The sequence below is a fragment of the Homo sapiens genome, chromosome 1 (assembly GCF_000001405.40).
Source record: "Homo sapiens chromosome 1, GRCh38.p14 Primary Assembly".
NCBI lineage: Eukaryota > Metazoa > Chordata > Mammalia > Primates > Hominidae > Homo > Homo sapiens.
In genome coordinates, this window is record NC_000001.11 from 223541277 (window position 1) to 223558935 (window position 17659).

General features: G+C 46.3%; 1 protein-coding gene across 3 annotated transcripts in view, besides 2 other annotated features; it reads right to left on the reverse strand.

Moving 5' to 3' along the window:
* Window positions 1-339: 339 nt before the first annotated feature.
* Window positions 340-17659, reverse strand: part of CAPN8 (calpain 8) — a 124086-nt gene continuing 106766 nt past the window's right edge. For all 3 annotated transcript variants that reach the window (NM_001143962.2, XM_017001265.2, XM_017001266.2), the window contains 9 exons: window positions 16855-16891; window positions 12556-12624; window positions 9684-9741; window positions 8042-8106; window positions 3955-4023; window positions 3496-3574; window positions 2791-2907; window positions 1832-1890; window positions 340-583 (listed from right to left, as the gene is read on the reverse strand). In NM_001143962.2, coding sequence (NP_001137434.1) covers window positions 560-583; window positions 1832-1890; window positions 2791-2907; window positions 3496-3574; window positions 3955-4023; window positions 8042-8106; window positions 9684-9741; window positions 12556-12624; window positions 16855-16891 — 577 coding nt within the window. In that variant the 3' untranslated portion in view covers window positions 340-559. The remainder of the gene's footprint in view (window positions 584-1831; window positions 1891-2790; window positions 2908-3495; window positions 3575-3954; window positions 4024-8041; window positions 8107-9683; window positions 9742-12555; window positions 12625-16854; window positions 16892-17659) is intronic.
* Window positions 9480-9529: an enhancer, noted in NCBI's record as "active region_2589". NCBI's record gives its function as "activates an Ori minimal core promoter by ATAC-STARR-seq in GM12878 lymphoblastoid cells {active_cell/tissue: GM12878}" and the evidence as "EXISTENCE:reporter gene assay evidence [ECO:0000049][PMID:35858748]".
* Window positions 9930-9989: an enhancer, noted in NCBI's record as "active region_2590". NCBI's record gives its function as "activates an Ori minimal core promoter by ATAC-STARR-seq in GM12878 lymphoblastoid cells {active_cell/tissue: GM12878}" and the evidence as "EXISTENCE:reporter gene assay evidence [ECO:0000049][PMID:35858748]".

Consider the following 17659-nt stretch of genomic DNA (forward strand, 5'->3'; position numbering starts at 1 on the left):
TGTGAGCAAAACTAACCTGAACTGCCTTTCCCCTCTAGCTATTTGCCAGGTAAGAATTCTCCTCAGTACAGTCCAGCAGTCTCCCATGTCTGCAAATAAGGAAGAAAGCCCTGTTCTCCCAGCATCCCATCCCTGCCCCCTTCCTGGGCTCCTTTCCTGAAGGTGGCCTCCGGATGCATCTCGGTCCACAGAAGACTTCTCCTCTGAGAAATTAACCTACACTTTGTATCTTTCAGCAGTTTTGAGTTGTGCCATTTCCCGAGAACATCTTCTTTCCCAAAGCATAAAAAGCCCAGGATACAGCCCAGATAGCATATCACGAGAGAAAGGTGGAAACCATTCTGGCTCACAACTTTAATTGATTGCTTTCCCTCCACTGGGCCCACCGGGTCGGCTTACATAGCTCATAGCTCAGTGCTGCTGAAATAGACCCAGGGCAAGAAAGGTATGAACAACCAGTGAATGCCACTGGAGCATAAATGTTCACAAAATTGTAGAGAAGGGGTGACAAGAAGCAAGCAGTGGGGCAGGGAGTGTCACTGATGTCCGAAACCCCGGGTCAGACCAACACGCAGCACAGCCACTGCAAAGGAAAGGGACAAGATTGAGTCTTGGCTTCTCAGGGGCTGGTGTGCTTTCACCATTGATGCTCTCCTGCCTCACATGGGTGCGATCTTTTTATCTCCATTCTCCAGTAAGTGCCTTGCTCAAACATGGGAAGCAAGGAAGGCTTTCACTATATCACTAACTCCTGAACCAGGGTACTACAGAAATGTGACTCAGAAAAAGCTCTAGACCCAAAGGGAGCTCCAAAAATAGGTATGTGCATGTATATTCATACACACACACACACATACATATATACACAATAGTGTATACTATTATATACACACATATATATACACTATATATGTGTGTGTATATATATATCCCTATAGATTCCTATATATGTGTACATATCTTTTCCTATATATGTATTTGTTTCTATATGTGTATATATATATATTCCTATATGTGCATATTTGTGTGTGTATATATGTATATTTTATGCACCCACACAACCACACTCCATTTTAGGTTCCACACTATTGTCCAGGTATCTGTGGGAATCCACAGGTCTATTTCTAGGAAGGCCTTTCCTGGGCTACAGGAAAGAGGTCAATAGCATTCCCACTTTAGAGAAGAAAAGAAAGTGGGTAAGCACAGACAATGGGGCACAGCCAGTAATAACCTGGCCCTCTAGTTCCACCGCCTCAGAATCAAGTCAAAGGCCAATGCCTCCCCCTGCCTGGACCCTTGGAGACATCTCCACACTTCCTGCTGTCCCCTCTGGCCAGTAAAGGCCTCTGTCGTACAGGGGTGCAGTGTCCACGGGGGAAGTACTCTGATTTTTTCTGCAAAAACATTATGTGACTTGTACACAGTAAAAACACTTGTTCATTTTGCATCTTCATTCTACCCACTGCAATTTCATTTTTGTTTCCTACATCCTTCCATAGGTCCATATAAGACAGCTGGTCCTAGAAGCCAGACACTTTATATTGTGCCCACTACCCACAACTCCATCCAAATTAACAAGGGCTTGCATCTCCGAAATTATCTGAAATGTAGCTGTAGCTTTATCTTTACGATCATAATAATAATAAACAAAAATGTTTGGAAAACTGTATAACAGTTGCCTTCCTCCCTGCTGGGTGCCTGCCACAGAACATGCATGGTATTCACATGGAACTAAGACAGCCAACAGGAATAAGCATCACTTGGCAGCTACATGGTCCAAGAATTTCAGAGTACCATCAGCCAGCAATTCATCAAACCTCAGGACATTCACCTCGGCCAGAGAGAGCTGAACCATGCCATCCTTGTCTTCGTCCAGAAGGCTGAATAGTTCTAAAACACCAGAGAAGGAAATGAAATTAGATAAGGCTGTTCCTGGACTTTGGAACAATCAGAGAGCTGCCTCTGTCTACCCCATCCCCACCTGCGGAACTCTCCTTTCCCCTACCACCCCCTCCCCTCCAGCCCCCACCTAGGCCCAGGGGCCTCAAAAAGCTAGATCCAGGGCACACAATGAGCTTTTGGGGGATCAGATGCCCCCCTGCCGAAACAGACAAACCCCGTTGCCAGCAGAGATGGTCCCTTTGGTATCTCCATCCTCAGAAGCTTTATATCAGAAACGTGCAATTACTTTATCAAGGTCAAACAGATTGTGGTTGTCTTGCTTGTGGGTAATCCAGTCCCTTAGCTTTGTCTCTGGCTAACTGACCTTGACCCACTAGAACGTAACACCTACCAAACCTCAGTGGAAGGAAAAATCCCTTCCTAATAAGATATCTAATCTCAAGGCCCAAGATGGCAGAAAAACGCCTATTGCCTTCAGAGGGCACCCCCCATCCCTTCATTGGAAGGTGGCACATGTTCTCAATATGATCCCTATTGAAAAACAAATATAAATAGACACTAAACACCATCTAAGAACAGTTACTGTGACTCATTCATCTTGGCCTAGTGACTGCACACTGTAGATGCGCAATAGTCTGGATGGCAGCTTTGTTAAGTCTCCAAAAAAGGCATCCTCCGTCCTGGATCTGGCCAGCCTGGACTTCCTCAGCCCCTTCAGGTCCAGCTGCCCCTCGCCCCCAAGGTGCCAGCATTCCAGAAGCCCTGTCTATCATTTTCTGGGTCCCTGGCCTCCTAAAGGCAATGTCTGGTTCTGCCCCTTGGCCCTGCCCCTGCCCCACCTTGCACCTTGGGATTAATAGGATGGGGCTGGAGGACAGAGTGACTCACTGAAGAGGGTCTCCAGGCGGATCATACAAGCCACGAAGCTGTCAAAGTTGATGCCAAGCTTGCTGCACGCATACCGCAGGGCAATGGTCTGCTGCACCTGGCTGTTGAGGGTGAAACCTGAGGGCAGAGGGAGCCTGGGTCACAGGTAGAGTGGAGGACTCAGCACTGTCTCCCATAAACACTCAAGGAGCTGACATCCCAGGGGCCCCTCTGTGGTTCTGTATCAATCTGCAAACCAGGCCTGACTCTGCCTTCTCCAGGGGATCCCAGAAGGTGTCCTGCCATCCATCCCTCTCCTTGTAGCTACTCCTCACCAAGATCAGCCTAATTCCAGGTCCAGCGCTAGTACCAGCACCAACTCAGCCATGGGTCACATCAGCAAGCAAAAGCAGAGAAGGTGAGGGGGCTGCCTGTCTGGCCAGTTCCTGTCTGTCTCCTTCATAGCCCCTTCCTCTGTAATTGCTGTCACCTTCCCAGTAACAGGCAGAGATCTTGGAAAAATTCTAAAATATTATGCTATATGGAATCGAGCAATATTCTCCCCTTCCTGGACAGGGAAGGTACTCAACAAAGCTCTGTTGTTGCCTTGATATCCCATATAAGAAAGCTACAAATGATGATCATTAGCAATCATCATCATGAGAATAAATATTTACAATGTGCACACCTGGATCCCAAGACCCTGTCTACAGGATGTGTCCTCACCTGCCTTCCTGAGGGCTGTCCTCATCTCGTGGGCATCGATGGTGCCCGAGTGGTTATAATCAGTTTCCCAATAGATCTCCTAAAGCAGGAAAGAAATCCCAAGTAGAAAACAACCATTCACGGCCCCTGCCAGAACCATCTCCCTCCACCACACTGCTTTCTCAAAAGGCCAGGGACACTTTCAAAAGGAGACCCTATTGACTCCTCCCAAGAAGGTTTCAGAGCAAGCATAAGAGCTTGGCCAGTGCTGGCCCCTTTGCTGTCTGAACAGCAGGGCTTTCAGGGCAGTGGTTGGCATGAGAGTCTCTCATTGCCTTCTTGTTCCTTCATGACCAATGTGCCCAGGACTCAATAGTTTTGACCATGATTAAGGATGTGGTCAGAATACAATGGACCAGGAATGAGTGTAAGGGAGGATTAGAACAGAGGAGAGGATGCCCAGAAGGAAAAGAGAGTTACCAGATACTTCTGAATCTTCAGCCAGAGCGTCTTGAATTCCACCGCCCCCAAAGTGCCCGTTCCATTGCTCTAGGCACATTAAAGACCAACATGATTGAGTCCAAATTCTACATGCCTTATAGATTTCTTTCTCTTGTGAGCTTGCATGAGTGCCTTAAGGCCTTAGTGAACCTTCCATGTCTGTGGCAAGCAGAGCAGTGGGGGTGACGGTGTGTAACAGGTTCAAATAAAGATTAAAAAGTCAAACGTGCACCAAGGCTCTCCTCTGAGGCCAGGCACAGAGCTAGGAACAAAGGGCAAGTCATGAGCTGGCCAATCTGCAATATCGTGAATACCCTAATCATCCTGGTTTATTTACAGGGTGGAGCTGTATGATCTGTAAATTCGCTTCTACATTTACATTTCTGTGATTGATCATTCAGCTAATTAGAGTTTGTTGGAATGTCAAAATGTTATGGGAAAAGACATCAGGAGCCAGGAACCATGGGACTGGGAGTCTAAGCCACAGAATCTGCTCATAGGCCACTATACAACCAAACAGGAGGATATTATGAGGGATTTTCTGTGTCCAACTTACATTCACTCCACAACTTTTTTTTTTTTTTTTTTTTTTGAGACGGAGTCTCTCTGTCGCCCAGGCTGGAGTACAGTGGTGTGATCTCAGCTCACTACAACCACTGCCTCCAGGGTTCAAGCAATTCTCCATGTCAGTCTCCCAAGTAGCAGGGATTACAGGCACCCGCCACCATACTCCACTAATTTTTTTTTTTTTTTTTTTTTTTTAGTAGAGATGGTTTCACCATGTTGGCCAGTCTGGTCTTGAACTCCTGACCTCAAATGATCTGCCTGCCTCAGCCTCCCAAAGTGCCACGACTATTTTTTTTTAACGCTGTGCTAGTCAATAGGGATTTAGTTTTGAATGCACTTATGCTCCTAAAGTTAAGTTTTTTAGAGACTCTACAATTTTCTCACCAGTCACAACTAATCAATAAACAGTGCGTATGTTACAGCACCAATGTTAAAATTTTGAAACAGCCCCAGCTACTCAGGAGGCTGAGGCAGGGGGATTGCTTGAGCCCAGGAGTTTGAGGCTGCAGTGAGCTCAGATTATGCCTGTGAATAGCCACTGCACTCCAGCCTGGGCAACATAATAAGACCCCATCTCTGAATAAATAATTAGAATTCTAAAACAGACTATCACTTTAATTAGCCAAACAAAAAGTCCTGTAAGCCTCATACTTTAAGAAAGTCTGTGTTCTTGGATCTATAATCCGCACTGAGTGTTGAATGCATCATAGCCTTCAAATCCTTACTAATAATTCAACCAACACATCTCAGAACAGTAGTATGCAAAGGAAGCTAACACTCGGGGCTAGGTACTCTACATACTTGTATCTCATTTCATCCTAACAATAGCCACACAAGCTAGACATAATTATCCCATTTTCCAGGAGAAACTGAAGTTCAGAGCATTTAGTAACTTCCTCAAATTTATACACCTCAATAAGTGGTAGAGCCAGAATTTGGACCCCTGTCTGTTTCAAAACCTTTGTCCCAGAACACCAGTGGTCTTCAATTCCAGATAAAATTGCTTGCAGAGACCACACCTATGGAATCAGGATCTCCAGGAATCAGGGGTTTTTGTTTGTTTTGTGGTTGTTGTTGTTGTTGTTGTTGTTGTTGTTGTTGTTGTTGTTGTTTGAGACAGAGTCTCACTCTCTCACCCAGGCTGGAGTGTAGCAGTGTGATCTTCACTCACCGCAACCTCTATCTCCCAGGCTCAAGCGATTCTCGTGCTTCAGCCTCCCCAGTAGCTGGGATTACAGACATGTGCCATCACGCCTGGCTAATTTTTGTATTTTTAGTAGAGACAGGATTTCACTGTGTTCCAGACTGGTCTCGAACTCCTGGCCTTAAGTGATCTGCCCACCAGTGCCACCCAAAGTGCTGGGATGACAGGCATCAGCCCCTGCGCCCCGTCAATTTTTAAAATTTTTTTTCTAGCACTTTGTAGGACATGTGAAAGACTGTATTTTTAAACTGTATTTTTAACACCCCATGGGTGATAAAGTACTGATACATGCTATAGTAATTGAAACATCATGTTCAGTAAAAAAAGTCAATTACAAAGGACCACATATTGTATAATTTCATTATATGAAATGTCCACAATAGACAAATTTGTAGAGACAGAAAGTAAATTAGTGGTTGCCTAGGGATGGTCGTGGAGGTTGGGGGAAATGGAGAGCGACTGGTAATAGGAGTACAGGGTTTCTTTTTAGGGTGATGACAATGTTCTAAATTATGTGATGATGGTTGCTTAACTCTGAATACACAAAAGCCATTGCCTGATATACTTTAAATGAGTACGCTGTATGGTGTGTAAATGATATCTCAATAGAGTTGTTATTTTTTTAAGGATTCCATGGGTATTTCTGCTGATTCAGAACCACTGCCCCACACTACCTAAACTGTGGAACAGAAACTCCTGAAGAGTGGCAGAGAGTCACACTCCTCTTTGAACCGTGAGAGACACAAATACCATTGGGAATAAAGAGTGGGTAGATTACAAGGCAACTCTCAAATCTAAACTGAAGTCAACAGATGGGGTTTGATGAGAATGATTCAGAAACCAGGGAACTATTTGCAGTAAAGTGAATCAATACTTAACAGTTCCTTGCAGTCCACAAATTAAATTGTCAAGCATGGAGAAAAGACACGAGGGCTAAAGAGCCCCAGCCTCATGCAGGGAGTGGCCGACTGAAGCTCAGAGGCCAAAAGATAGCACCAGCCCTCCATGGTGGATCAGCCACGCAGAGGTGGGCACACATGCTCTGTCATCCAGGACCACTCTGCATGACAACCATGCAAAGGAAAATCCTTCCTCCCGTCCCGCAGTTAATGAAAGAACCCACAGTAAAGATCATCATGGATGAACAGACAGAGCTCATCATGGATGAGGCCCCAAGGAACTGAGAAAAACCCTCCAAGGCTCCAATTTTTAAAGAAATCACCTTCACCATCAGCACTGTGATAAATGGCAACCTGGACCCACTGTGGGCAAAGCTCTAAGGAAGTGATGTTACACCACTCACCCTCTGTGCCTTCACACCTAGAAGGTTCCTTCCACCTAGAATGCCCTGACCTTCTCCATTCCTCCCAAAAACTACTGCCCATTTGCTATAGACTGAGTGTTTTTGTCCTCCAAAATTTGTATGCTGAAACCCAATCCTCATGTGAGGATATTAGGAGATGGGCCTTTGGGAGGTAATTAGGTCATGAGGGTGGAACCCTCAGAAATGAAATTAGTGCCCTTATAAAAGGAACCCCAGGAAACTCCCTCACCCCATCTACCATGTGAAGTTATAGCAAGAAGATGCCATCTATGAACTAGGAAACTGGCCCTTATCCACCACAAAATCTACCAGCACCTTGATCTTGGCCTTCTCAGCCTCCAGAAGAGTAAGAAATAAATTTCTGTTGTTTATAAGCCACCCAGTTTATGGTCTCCTGTTACAGCAGCCAGAACAGCCTAACACACCATACTTCAATATCAAGTGAGGGTTAAACTAGATCAGGGAGAACAAATAGATTTTATCTTGTGTGATAACTCTAAACTATCAGTAGTAGCTGTCCACAAGCCATGTTAAGATTCTGAAGCAAAGATCAGATAGTGATGGGGAGAGCTTGGGAAGCAGGGAACGGTAGAGGGTGGGGGTGGGGACGGGTAGAATTGAAGGGGAGGAGGAAGATGAAGAGATGAACAGAGTGTGGAGGGAGCAGGTGCGCAAATGCCCCATGCTTGCTACCTCCAGATTACATGATTTTAAATAAGTCACCTAAACACTGCACACCTCGGTTTCTTCACCTGTGAAACGGAGATAATCTCAAGCTTTCTGAGACACATCCATGATATGATACATTTTCCTTTGAGGCTTCAAGTACAATCCTTGACATATGCTCCATGCCTGCTCTCTCCCCTTCTCATTTTTTACCCGTCCCTTCCTTCTAACTGGAAAAGGTGGAGGAGTCTTTAAAAACCGGACGAAAGTAAAAAAAAAAAAATAATGCAACATTTAAAGGATACATCCAACAGACTGATCATTTCCCTGCAAGTGTTGATGTTGAATCCATCGAATTTTATGTCTGTTCCTAAAGATTTAAATAGAAAAGGGGAGTGGGAATCGGATCATTTGAAGGTGAGGGAAAGAACCTCCACGGTAGAAGACCTCCAAAGATACCATCCAAGGGTGTGGAACCGAACTTGGTCTCTGCCAAAAGGGGAGAGCATCATGGCAGGCTTGTGGGCAGATACGCCTGAGCCTCCTGGTGCCGTGGGAGATAGAACAGACAAGCACCAGCATCCAAGTACAGCATCTGAACCTTGGCTTGGCTCCCCACAAGCCACAGACTTCAGCAAATTAATATCTTTGAGCTTTAATTTCCTCCTCCATCAAATGGGAATAATCATGATAGTAACAATGACCATACTTGCCCCAAAGACTGGCTGGGTATTAACTGAGATAATGAAAGTGAAGTTTTAGCCCAGGCTTGATATATGATAAGTTCTTAATAAAACAGCTAACTTTATATGGCTAGGTATTGTTATAAGCACTGCACATCTACTCTTCAAAATCACTCCGTGTGGTAGATGCTATCATTATACCCACTTTATAGATCAGGAATCTGAGTCCCAGAGAGGTTATATGATTTGCTCAAGGTCACAACCAGTAGGGGGCAAAGCTAGGAGTTAAATGCAGGCCAGCCAGCTCCACAGCCTGAGCTTGTAATCACAACACACAGCCACTCAATGACAGCAGCTATCCTTCCTTACTAAATTGCAGGCATGTCACTGGAGCTCCATCCCTGGCCTCCACCCTCACCTTCCATATACCTGGGAGCCAAGACAGGTGCCAAAGACCCTGCAACCCCTTCTCTTTCTCTCCACTCTTCAACAACTGCAGGAGCAAGAGTGGTGTGGAGAGGAGACGGGCCTGTGCTCCGAGCCCTGGGGATCCATCTGCTCAGCCCTGGGTTCGTCCCTGGGAAGGGTATGACTTGGCTCCTGGGCCAAGCCCCTGCTTCCTGCATTCTCAAGCCCTGTCCTGCTGCAGTGAGTGAATGAGAGCCCATCACTCACTGGAAGACTTAACCTGGCCCATCCCTGGACCCGGAAAGAAACCAGCTCCCTGTGTCCTCCTGTGGGCTGGGGCTCAGAGGGGAGATGCAAATCTTTCCTCCTGACAGCTCTGAGGCTTGCAAAAATCTGAAGATGGGGAACTGAGGACAGTCTAGGAGAGTCAGAATCATCCCTTCCTTCCTCCTTCCCTCAAGATGAGCTACAGAACTAGATCTTTCATCTGCAGAGGTTTCCACAGTATCCAAGTTATTAATTTTGTGAAAAAAATTCACTTAAGTCAATCCCAGCCCAGCTCTTTTTCTCCTGGGACTCAGCCTGCAATTTCACTTGACACTATGGAGCTTTGTTCCTTCAGGTGCTGGCTGCTTGCCAGCACCAGCCCCGCCTTCACCTCCACCCTCGCCTCCCCGTCTTCTGCCTCTCCTTCTTCCCCTCTTGTCTTGCTGGACTGAATCAGGGCTCCTGGGGTCAGACACCAATGCCCTTTCTCCCACCTGTGGTGCTGCCAGCCCAATGCCTGCCTACCCATCCCTCACCCTGCCCCAGCATCTCCTACGGACTTTCTGAAAGACCCCAAGAAGGAACTTACTCTTGGAAAACGCCTCATTCAAAAGTATCTTGAGTGCATTGGCAGTAATCTCAGAATCCTAGAAAGAGGAACCCAAATGCAAATCATGTCAGGCCCTGACAAGTTGTTTCAAGACAGTAAATTAATGCAGTGCTTCCTCACAGTCAGACACCAGGCCCACTGGCCCTGTGAGGTTTATTTGTTTTTGTTTTTTGTTTTTTTTTGAGACAGTCTTACTCTGTCACTCAAGCTGGAGTGTAGTGCCGCAATCTCTGCTCACTGCAACCTCCATTTCCCAGGCTCAAGCAATTCTCCTGCCTCAGCCTCCTAAGTAGCTGGGACTACAGATGCGTGCCACCACGCCTGGCTAATTTTTGTATTTTTAGTAGAGACGGGGTTTCACCATGTTGGCCAGGATGATCTTGAACTCCTGACATCGTGATCTGCCCACCTCAGCCTCCCAGAGTGCTAGGATTACAGGCATGAGCCACCGTGCCCGGCTGGCCCTGTGATTTTAAAAGCAGGTGGCATCTTTAAAAACTCAAATTATCCTCTTCTTTTGGGGATCCCAGCAGCCTGGCCAGAGGTGTGTTAGTGCCATGAGTGTGGTACACACCGTGGCAGAAGGCTGCCATGCCAGGGTCCTGCTGCCTTTCACAGGGCTCGCTTGAACAGGGATAAAGTAACAGGAACAGCAGTGATAGGATTGAACCAGATGTGCCAGAGCCAGTGTGGAAGATCCTTAAATCCTCAGCACAATTCCACAGCCATTTTCAAGTTAAGGAAGTCGTGATTTTGTAAACTGCTGAACACTGTATACATGCAACATCATTTGTCATTTTCATGTGACGTAATTGCTTGTGGTTTGTAGCTACCAAGAGGCAGAGCTAGACTTGGAAACCTAAGGTTGGTTCACCCCAAAGTGCCGGCTTTCCCCACCACACCTACAGGAGTTGGTATTTCACATAGGAGCCCATCTCAAACTGGGGGCAGAGATTGAGAGAATAGCATATTCTGTGTGCATCTGGGATAAACACTGAGCCAGAGGGAAGAGTCATCCCTTAACTCTCAGATGGAGAGCAGATCTCAGGCAGGATGACCAAGGAAATGCAGAGAAGGCGTGCTGGGCTGATGTCTGGGTCCCAGTCTCAACTCAGCCCCTTATTCATCATGTGACTTTAGCCGAGTCACTTTCCATCTTCCCATCCTCCGCTAGCCAGGCCCTGGCAATTCTACTGGAAATGAGAGAGGCAAGAGCTGCACAAAGCAGTGTCTCCTCTGAGGACAACTGGCCTCACCCCAGCACAGAGTGGTCAGTCCCAATAATAAGACCTGAGGACCTGGGCCAGGCACGGTGGCTCACACCTGTAATCCCAGCACTTTGGGAGGCCGAGGTGGGTGGATCACCTAAGGTCAGGAGTTCGAGACCAGCCTGGCCAATATGGCGAAACCCTGTCTCTACTAAAAATGCAAAAATTATCCAGGCGTTGTGGCTGGCATCTGCAGTCCCAGCTACTCGGGAGGCTGAGGCACGAGAATCGCTTGAACCCGGGAAGCAGAGGTTGCAGTGAGCCGTGCACCACTGCACTCCAGCCTGGGTCACAGAGCAACAGTCCATCTCAAAAAAAAAAAAAAAAAAAAAAGACTTGAGGCCCCTTTAAAAAGCCTCTGGGGCTAGAAGACTACCCCCATTAGCCTGCCAGGAAAGAAATGGGATGTCAAGAGTCTACATTTGGACCTTGACCCCGTCGTTCATGAGGCCTTGTACCCTCAGCCAGCTCCTTAACCTCTCTGTGCAGGCCACTTTACAAGCCGAGCAAGGAGAGTGACCAATACTGCCCCATGCAGCCAGAGAGAAAGGTAAGATAAAGTGCATGAAGAACTATGCAAATATGAGCTTTTCCTTTCATCATTCTTGGTGTTCTTAATAAAATATGGCCCTTGGCAGCTAAGGAAACAGGTTTTGTTAGCAAAAATACTGGCCTGTAAATCCATCTAAAACATAAATTGGCTCATCTTTGCAAGGGTTTTATTCAATGGCTATGCAAAGGAACTGTTCCCAGGTTTTATTTCCTGCAAGGGATTCTGATATCTTTTCTTCTATTTTATCCTTAAGTCTAGAAAGTCACCCTGAGTTTCCCGGGGTGGTGGGGGGAGACCATTGTTTTTTCCTCTTCCGGGCCCTTTTCACACACTTTATTATCCTCCAAAGAGTAACACATTCGCTGTATTTATGGGGCCGGTTTTGACATTTCAAGTCCTGGTTATGCTTTGACTTGTGGCCCCCACCGGGCTGCTACCAAAGTGAACGGAAGCCAGGGCAGGGGAGAAGGATCAGGGGTCGCTTCTTTCTCTGCTCCAAGTGCCCAAGTTGCATTCATGTCGGGCAAAGCTTGGATTCCTCAGGCTGCTGGTCTCCCAGAGGGCGGGCAGGGCTGCAGGACGGTGACAGGGAACAGGGCTAGTCCTGCACACTAATCCCAAGCCAGGTTAGCTGAGCTGCCTTCCACTGCGGCTGGGCAATCCTCACTCTGAAGGATATCTATTTGGAGAGGTTTTGCCATCCCAGCTTTTTATTCAGAGACCCCAATCTGACAGGGCCAATCTGCAAACAGAAAGGCTTTTGGCAGGACCTGGAGATCTGGCTTTTCTATTTTCTCAAGAGTCAGTCAACGCAGCAAGATAAGTAGCCTCAGGACCAATTCCCAAGTGATGAAGGAAAGGTACTCAATCTTAAGACAGGATGGTGATGGGCACAGAAGCTGGGGGCCCCTGAGACCTGAGTCTCACCCTTTTTATGCCTAGAGACCTCAGGGAGTAAAGAATGAAGTGACCTGAGCATTCCTGAATATTCTCCTGCCCACCTGGGAAGCCATGTTCGCCCTCCACTCACCTTCCCTGCCAACTTCTCAAACAGCCTCCTGAACTGGTCATCTTCCTGATCCACCTCACTGGGATGTGGCTAAAAAGAAGGACATTTGCAAAGTTAAAATGGGAATCGTCAAGGAGAATGAAAGACGAAGATTTAAAATTCATTCCTTCATCCATTAGTATCTATGATGCACCTACTATGTGCCAGGCTTTGGGCTAAGTGGGGGCACATGGTGGCAAACCAAGAGACAGCAAAGGTCCTGGCCCCAGGGAGCTTACAGTCCAGCAGGGATGAGCAGAGAGGCAGCGCTGGGGCCTAGCAGTTTTCTCTCTAAGTGATTTGGGGAAGTGAGCCCCACCAACCCTGAATTTCTGATTACAACCTGAACAACTTTCAGAAAATGACACTGACACCAGAAAATCTTGGTGTGAATCTGTGGACTCCTAAGGGAATCACTGATAATTTTCCAGGGAGTCTGAACTCCAGAAATTGCGTGAAAACATGGGGTCATATCTAAATGCATTTTTGGCTGGGTGCAGTGGCTCACACCTGAAATCCTAATACTCTGGGAGGCTGAGGCGGGCAGGTCACGTAAGCCCAGGAGTTCGATAGTAGCCTGGGCAACACGGTGAAACCCCATTTCTACAAAAAATACAAAAATTAGCTGGGTGTAGTGGTGCACGCCTGTAGTCCCATCTACTTCAGAGGCTGAGGCCACAGTGAGCCAAGACTGTGCCACTGTATTCCAGCCTGGGTGATAAAGCGAGACCTTATATCAGAAAAAAAAAACATTTTCTTAGCTTTCATCAGATTCACGAAGAGCAACATGATTTCAAAAGTGTTGAGAACATGGCCTAGTAGAAAGAGTAGAACTAGAAGCCAGGAGACTGGAGTTCAAATAGCAGATTGTACCCTTACTGGACACTATCTCAGGGCTCTGAACATCCATGGCCTCCACTCTGTTATTGATTTAACCAGACCATTTTCATGGGGCCATTTTAGGAATCAAATGAGAGCTAATGTGGGTCAAAGTCCTTTGGAAATTACAAACCATTATATGAATGCTTCTGTCCAGAGACTTTCTGATGTGACAATGGGCTCTGCCCAAAATAGGACAATGCCCAGTTGTCACCACAAGACAGAATGGAAAAGTGACAGCTTCCCAGATGACACGAAATTTCTAGAAAGCCGGGTTAATTTCTTTCAAAACTATCACTAAGATGAGTACAAAAGGCCCAATATAGCTTGATGATGCTGTACTCATAAAGATAACCACTGTAGTAATAATACTTGTCTTTGTTGAGTACTTACTACCTGTCAGGTACTTTGCGTGGATTATTTCATTTAATATTCACCACTGTCCTGTGAGGTTCCTCTCATTACTGTCCTCACTTCACCAATGGACAAACTGGAATTTTAAATGTTACTTCATTTTAAATGTTATGTAACAGGCCAAGATCACACAGCTAGTAAACAGTGAAGCCAGGATTAAACTCCAGCCCATGCACTTCTCCACCACCCTCTGGAATGATCGTCAGAGAAGATGCTCCCTGCATCCGACTACTCTCAGCCTCTCTGGGGCTGTTTCCTCACCTGCAGAATGAGGATATTAACGCCTACCATGCTGTTTACATAGAAGATATGCTAATCTAAAAATACATCTAGATTTTTAGAAGAAAAAATGATAAACACATCATATCTCATCACACATATATGATTTTAAAGTGGTTTTATAGGGAAAACAACATTATATCATTCATGTAATACAGTATGCCAAAATCTTGGATGTCCATAAATTCCAGACATGGAGTAATATTCTCCATGTCTGGAAAAACATAAAATTGCATAGGGGAAAAACATAAAATTGCATATAAAAACTAACAACAAAACAGTATATGGATATGGACACACACAGGCACATAGCAGGCATCCCGTCACTGGGAGTTATCATTGGACACAAGGGAATTTTTGGACATTGGGAATGAGGAAAACGTGTACGTGGTTGCAACTGTGGTACTTCACAATTTGTCCATTCAAAAAAAGATTTACTGAACACCTGGCCCATGTTGGGAACTGTTCAGAACCTGCGTGTGAATGCAATGGTGAACAAGGCGTAGTTTTTGTTCTCAAGGAACGTACTATAGTGGAATTTTCTATTTCCCTGATACAATCTATATGAAAATGCTTTGCAAATGGTATGGCAGCATGGCAAACGCAAGGAATTATTTTCTTGTTATTCATTATATCACATGTTGGGAATGTCTTTACAACCCTGCTCAAAGTGAACACGGCTAAATTCCAAGAGTGTGTTTGTTCACCCTGTAATTTTTCCTTCCCTCATTCAGAGCAGGTGATTATGCTCTTTGAATGTCCAACTGTCCGTGACTTGGAGATTTCTGCAGGGAATAAAACAGAAGTTCCTAAAGGCAATAGTCCTTCCTGTCTTCTGTAAAGTACTGAGTCCCCTGAGGACATTATCTGTGTATTCTGGGGTGTGTGTGTGTGTGTGTGTCAGTCACAGCACAGTGGTGCCCTAAAGAGAAAAAGCAGGGTCTCCCTGAGACCAAGAAGATGTTGAAAGTTTACAGGATCTTGGGGATATGGGAACCCTTGAATGGCTCCATAGCCATGTCCTAGTACCTCAGAAGGGGAGGCTGGACCATTGGCCTGAGGACTCCCAGTTCATCAAAGATTCTAGGCCCCATGCTGAGCACAGAAGCCCAAGAGCTGTCAGTCATAAAGAAACCTGTGAGCTGACCACAGGGGTAACCAATGTGGACCCATGACCAGAAGAGACTTCCTGTTGCTTGGGAGCTTTAGAAAACCCCAATATCATGGGACGTGGAGATGGGAAGCCCCAGTAGTGACTAGGATTGAACTCCTGCCAATCTGGTGCAAGAGGGGCTTAGGATCAGTATAAGTTGATTTAGCAGAACCCTGCCCTTCCCATCCAAAAAAGGAGAGAAGATAATTCTTAGCACCTGAATTCAGGCTCAGCTCCATACTCTACACTGGCAAACCGCAGCCTTTCTAATATGCCTGGGACCCACAGTAAGAGATGCCACCGTGAGCGATAAGTCCTCCTGGGGGCAGTGAGAAGGCTGAGCTGGCATCAGCAACTGAGGCGAGGGGTAGGAGGGAAAATTCTGCCCAGCTCAGATCACCAAGAGTCACAAGCACAGAAAGGGCCTCTGGCGCCAGGTATTGCCACCAACTCGAGGCAGGGGGCGCTATTGACCACTGGCTGAACTACAGTGCACAGGGAAGCAGTCACACCAGTTCAGAAACTAACTGGAATAAGAAAAAATAGACATGGGGCATGCATTTTCTATCTGATAAACTCACAACACAAACCCCCAAGGCAAGATGGATCCTTATTTGGCACCATCTCATGCATCAGCAGAAACACGAGCTTGTAAATTTGACACATGTCAAATCACAGAATATGTGATTTGTATATGTGGTGTGTATATGGGTGTGTGTGTGTCTGCCCCCACCTCCATTCAGCCGAAGATGCCACGCCCAGCAGCTGGGAGCACTCTGTGTGGCATCTGCAGCCAGAGACACGTCAGTGTTGGACGGAGGGGTAGAAGCTGGGCCTGTGCCCCCATGAAGGTGGTCCTGCCCCACCCAGGCCAGTGCCCACTGGCCACAGACACAGCATGGCTCTCAGGGAGCAGCAGCACCCAATATACCCATCATCCGCCACACCCACCATCTGAGAACAACGACAGTACATTGAGGACACAGTGAGGAATAAAGGGAGTGAGGTGGTGAACCCACACCTCAAACCCTACATATTTATTCCTCCAAAGTCGGCTCAGAACTCACCTCCTCCATGGGGCCTTCCCAGACTAGGCACTCCCCCAGCACCCCTCAGACTACACATACTCAAGTTTAGATGGGTTTTCTGGTGTGTTCTTCTCTTCATCTTTCACATATACTTTCATCATTTGTCCTCCAAAAGACTGGAGGTCAATCCAAGAGCAGGACACTGGATCTATTCTCTCAAGGACTTCTCTATCTCGCACAGGACAGCTTAGGCACAGTGGGTGCTCTATCTGTGGGTCCTGCTTATCAAACATGGAAGACGATGGCTAAGACCTCCCCCAGGGGGTAGGGATATATTACAAAGCCTGGGTTCCAGGGCTACTTCTGTCTCATCTTCATCAGGAAGAGACAGGGACTAGAAAATGTTGTGGCCCTAACTAATAAGAAGTTATCATCCTTAATACATAAAGATTCTGACAAATCAAGAAGAAACCTGGAATGACTGCTATGCAACAGTGTCAGAGTTTGGCATACAAAAAGATTGCATACCTCATATGGGTTTCCAGCTACCACATCCCCAATTTCTCTGAAATGCAAAGAAAGAAATAAACCAAACATGAGTAAGTAAAAAGTACAGCTAATGGCTGGGTTGTTTTAGGAAGATTTCGACCCTCCTGAGAGATTGGGCTCGCACCCCAGACCTCATTTCCTACTAAAAACTGCATAAACAGAATCTTTAGCCAAGATTCCTCTCCCTTGCCTCCTCAACCTCCACCCCACCCTGAGTTTTTCATCAGAGACAAGAGCTTCCCAGTGCCATTGGCCCTTCAAGGATTCTAGAATGTTCACCCTGATGGATCACTCCCAGGGACAAAAGTGGTAACGGGTAAGGTAGGGAGAGAATTCCCCAGAAGGGTGATCCCTGTAGAAATGTCCTCTGGGGGCTAAGCCAGCAAGCCCACAGCCCTTGCAGGTGTGCATAGATGTTGTGTGTGCTATGGTGTGTGTGTGTGTCATATGTATGTGGTATGTGTGAATGGTATGTATATAGTGTGTATGTGGTATGAGTGTGTGCTGTGTGATTGTGTGGAGTGTGTGCGGTATGTACATGGTGTGTGTGAATGGTGTACTGTGTGTGTACTGTATGATGTGTGATGTGTGTGGTGTGCACATATGGTGTGTGGTGTGTTTGGTGTGTGTGGTATGTAATATGTGGTATGCATGTGCTTGTAGTATGTGTGCTGCATGTGTGGTATAAATGTGTGTGTGATATATATGTGTGGTGTGTATGTGTAGTGTGTATAGTGTGTGCAGTATGTGATGTGTGTGATATGTAATACATGATGTTCATGTG